This window comes from Homo sapiens, chromosome 2 (assembly GCF_000001405.40).
Source record: "Homo sapiens chromosome 2, GRCh38.p14 Primary Assembly".
NCBI classification, from domain to species: Eukaryota; Metazoa; Chordata; class Mammalia; order Primates; family Hominidae; genus Homo; species Homo sapiens.
The window spans coordinates 101533071-101537171 of NC_000002.12; the positions used below are offsets into that span (position 1 = coordinate 101533071).

Below are 4101 nucleotides of genomic sequence, written 5' to 3' on the forward strand. Positions count from 1 at the left end.
ATTTTGGTTGAGACTTGTTTCAGGTGGTCTAGAAGGCCTATTTATTTATGGCTATAGTTTTTTTGTTTGTTTGTTTGTTTGGAGACGAGTCTCACTCTGTCCATGCTGAAGTGTAGTGGCACAATCTCAGCTCACTGCAACCTCCACCTCCTGGATTCAAAAGATTCTTATGCCTCAGCCTCCCGAGTAGCTGGGATTACAGCTACCCGCCACCACACTCAGCTAATTTTTATGTTTTTAGTAGAGATGGGGTTTCGCCATGTTGGCCAGGCTGTTCTCGAACTCCTGACCTCAGGTGATCTGCCCACCTCAACTCTACCAAAGTGCTAGGATTCCAGGCGTGAGCCACCGGCCCGGCTGTGGCTATAGTTTTAAATGCTGCCTAGACTCCAAATTGCTGCACACAACCTGTCCCCAAGTCCGTGTGTGCACATCCATTATCTGGGGTTTCAGATGTCTGGGGTTTCTATGTCTTAGGAGTTGCCCCCTAAGTGTGGGAGTCCAAACTTTCCCTACGACAGAACTGGAAAAAAACAAAAGCAAAAACAAAAGAAAGCTAGTTCCACTTTTATCCAGAGAGAACCGAAAGATAGGATCACATTTCCTCAAACTTCTAGTAAAGAAGTCAGGCACGGGTCTGGGCTCTGGAGCCTGGAGCCAGCTGTAGGGCCGGCCGGTGGCCTGGAAACAAACAGTCCCACATAGGCCGGGAGGAATATGCGCGCACTGCCTGCCTCCATTGTTTTCTTTCCTGGAATAGCTGCTTGTTCTCATCAGCTAGTGTGGTCAGCATTTCCATTCAAGATCATATTGTCAGGGCTTTATTTTTAAGTCAGGCATGAAAATGGGCCTTGAGCTGAAACTTGGAAGCTGGGCAATTAGCATATTTGAAAGGAAGCCAACTGGTCTTTTGTTATTCCGTGGGGCAGAAGGGGCTTTTCCATGCTCTTCTAAATGACAAAAAGGGTTTGTGTTTGGGGCATTTTAAAACGAAGCAGTAGGCATGGACTTGGCTGTTTACACACAGAAGCTCACAAGAACATTGTCTCTGGGCTGCCTGGATGATGTCTGTAGGGGCTGCGAGACCCCAAGGATGTTCTCTGCTGACCAGAGGAACTGGAGCACTTTAATGTAGAAATTGGAAGCCAAGGAACTTTGTGTTTAAAGTAGAACTGCTGGAAGTGGCCAAGTCCACGGCTGCTTTCCAGAATGCCCTTAAAGAAAATGCTGACCCGCCAACTGGCAAATACGTCCTGAGTGCCTTCTCCCCACGAGGCACTAGTTTGGCAGAAATTTGGAGCTGGGCTGGGCAGTGATATGGAAAGAAGTATGCAGTCTAAGTAGGAGGGTCATCTGTATCTAGAGAGATAAAAACACAAGGTTAGTTAATGCCTCTTGCTGCAAGAGGAACCAGACGTGAAAGGGATAGGGAAGCCCAGGAGGGGAGGGACCATGAAGGATTGAGAAAGATTGCTGCGTACGTGTTAGGGGGGTAGGGAGGGCAGGTGGAAAGAACGATGGCTTTGGAACCCCTGACTCACTGTGTGACACTGGCAAATTTCTGGGCCTTGGGGAAGTACCAGAAATTATAAGAAAACTAGGAAAAATAGTACCAGGACAGAGCTGCTGTGGAATTGTTTAATGAGATAATGCATGTCAAGTGTTCAGCACATAGCAAATGGTAATTACCGTGTTTAAATGATGGGTATATTGGTTTTTGGAGTTAAATAATCTGAGCAAACGGATCTGGTCAGAAATCCTTGAAGGTCCGGGGAGCCGGTGGGATGAGTCTGGTGCACTGATTCCATAGCACAGGGGCAGGACCCTCTGTAATCCCCCCGCCCCCCATTTTGTGCACACTAAACACATAATTGCTGGCTAAGTTTTTCATAATGTACATAAACAGGACAAACGTATTTTCCCTATATTTCAGATGTAGAGATCAATATAAGTAGTGGTGTCAGATGAATCATAGGCTGTCCCAATGGGGCATATTTTTATTAAAAATTATTTATACTAAAAAGTTGTTGGTTTTTATCTGAAATTCAATTTAACCGGGTGTCCTGTAGAGAGAGAGAGAGTGTGTGTGTATGTGTGTTTGTGCGTGTATGTGTGTGTGTGCATCCACGCACGCCCTAAGTCTAGAGACCCTATTCCTAACACCTATGTACCCAACACTCAGAGTTAATAAGTATCAATACTTTGCTATCTTACCTTGAGTTTTTTAATGTTTTAAAGAGAAAGTTACAGACCACAGTTGGAATCTCCTTGTCACACACATACCAACATCATTCTTCTCCAAAAATGCCCAAAATTGATTCTATTCGTGTGTATCCTTATGTGGCTGTTCTACTTTTTCTATATGTGTATGTTTCCAGAAACAAAATACACTCTTGTTTTCTGTGCTTTATAGATTTACATAAATGATATCTTAGTGTATTTTTCTTTCAGCCATATAATTTTATTTTAAACATGAAATTTTTGATAAAAAATATTATATGTGATATACACATTGTCATCACCATAATACAGCCAACGCCTGTGCATCCATTACCCAGCAGAAGTGCCGTCCATTACCCAGCTGATGTGCTGTCCATTACCCAGTGGAAGTGCCGTCCATTACCCAGCAGAAGTAGAACGTCGCCAACGCTTTTGAAGTCTCTGTGCCTCCTTCTGAATTGCATTCCCCCTGACCCCACATAGAAGGTAACTGCCTCCATGAGTGGAGTGCTTATTCTTTATATTTCTTTGTATTTATTTATTGATTTTTATTTATTTATTTTTGAGACAGGATCTCACTCTGTCGCCCAGGCTGGAGTGCAGTGGCACAAGCTCTGCCCACTGCACCCTCGACCTCCCAGGCTCAGGCAGTCCTCCCACCTCAGCCTCCCCAGCAGCTGGGACTACAGGAGTGTGCCAGCATACCCGGCTAATTTTTGTATTTCGTGTAGACACAGGGTTTCACCACGTTTCCCAGGCTGGTCTTGAATTCCTGGGCTCAAGCGATCCATCTGCCTCAGCCTCGGCCTCCCAGAGTGCTGGGATTACGGATGTGAGCCACCGTGCCTGGCCTTTCTTTATAGTTTATCATAATATATGTAATTCTGAATGACAGTGCTCAGTTTTGAGTGAGTTTAAACCATGAACGGAAGAGAACATTGTGCTGTTTATGTTCTTCTGGAGCTATGCTCTCTTGACTTCATATATTTAAGAGGTTCATTTCGTGTTGGTGAGTGTAACTATGGTTCATTGTTTCTTTTCACTGCTGTTTACTATTCTATTGGATAAACACACTGCATCTTGTATTGCTACGGGACATTTGAGTTGTTTCAAGTTTTTGCTACTACAAACACAGCTGTTATGAACATTATTATACTTTTTTCTGGTATATATATATATATATATATATATATATATATATATATATATATAAAATAATTTGTCTGTGGTAAAAATACCTGAGTGGGATCTCTGGGTCCTTGTATTATTACCATCATTTCTCAAAGTGGTTCTACAAGTTTATACCCTCACCAGAGTCTTGACCAGTTTCTACCTCTACCAGAAGCGTATAAGTGTCTTGGGTGTTTCACAGTCCCTCCCACACCTGCCAAGCTCCTGGGGACAAAATGATGTCTTGCTATGGCCTAAATTGTCTTTGCCAGATTATTAATGATATTGATCATCTTTTCATATAAGTATTGGCCACTTTCAGCTCCTTTTCTGTGAAGAGACTGTTCCGGTCATCTGTTTATTTTTCTATTGGGTTTGTCTTTTTTCTTATAGATTTGTAAGAACTCTTCATATATTCTTGTTACTAACCCTTTGTTGGTTACATATGTTGAAAATATTGACTTTTAGTTTGTGGCCTGCCTTTTCATTTTTTATGATATCTTTTGAGGAAGAAACAGTCTTAATTTTAATGTTGTCAAATGTATCAGTCATTTGCTTTTCTGGTTACCACTTTGGGTGTTAAGAAAATTTCCTTCTTTCCTTCCTTCCTTCCTTCCTTCCTTCCTTCCTTCCTTCCTTCCTTCCTTCCTTCCTTCCTTTCTTCTTTCTTTTCCTTCCTTCCTTCCTTCCTTCCTTTCTTCTTTCTTTTCC

At 42.5% G+C, this 4101-nt stretch overlaps 1 annotated feature.

Moving 5' to 3' along the window:
• Positions 909–1698: an enhancer, noted in NCBI's record as "OCT4-NANOG-H3K27ac-H3K4me1 hESC enhancer chr2:102150441-102151230 (GRCh37/hg19 assembly coordinates)". NCBI's record gives its function as "activates a minimal SCP1, AML or CMV promoter by ChIP-STARR-seq in naive H9 embryonic stem cells {active_cell/tissue: H9 hESC(naive)}" and the evidence as "EXISTENCE:reporter gene assay evidence [ECO:0000049][PMID:30033119]".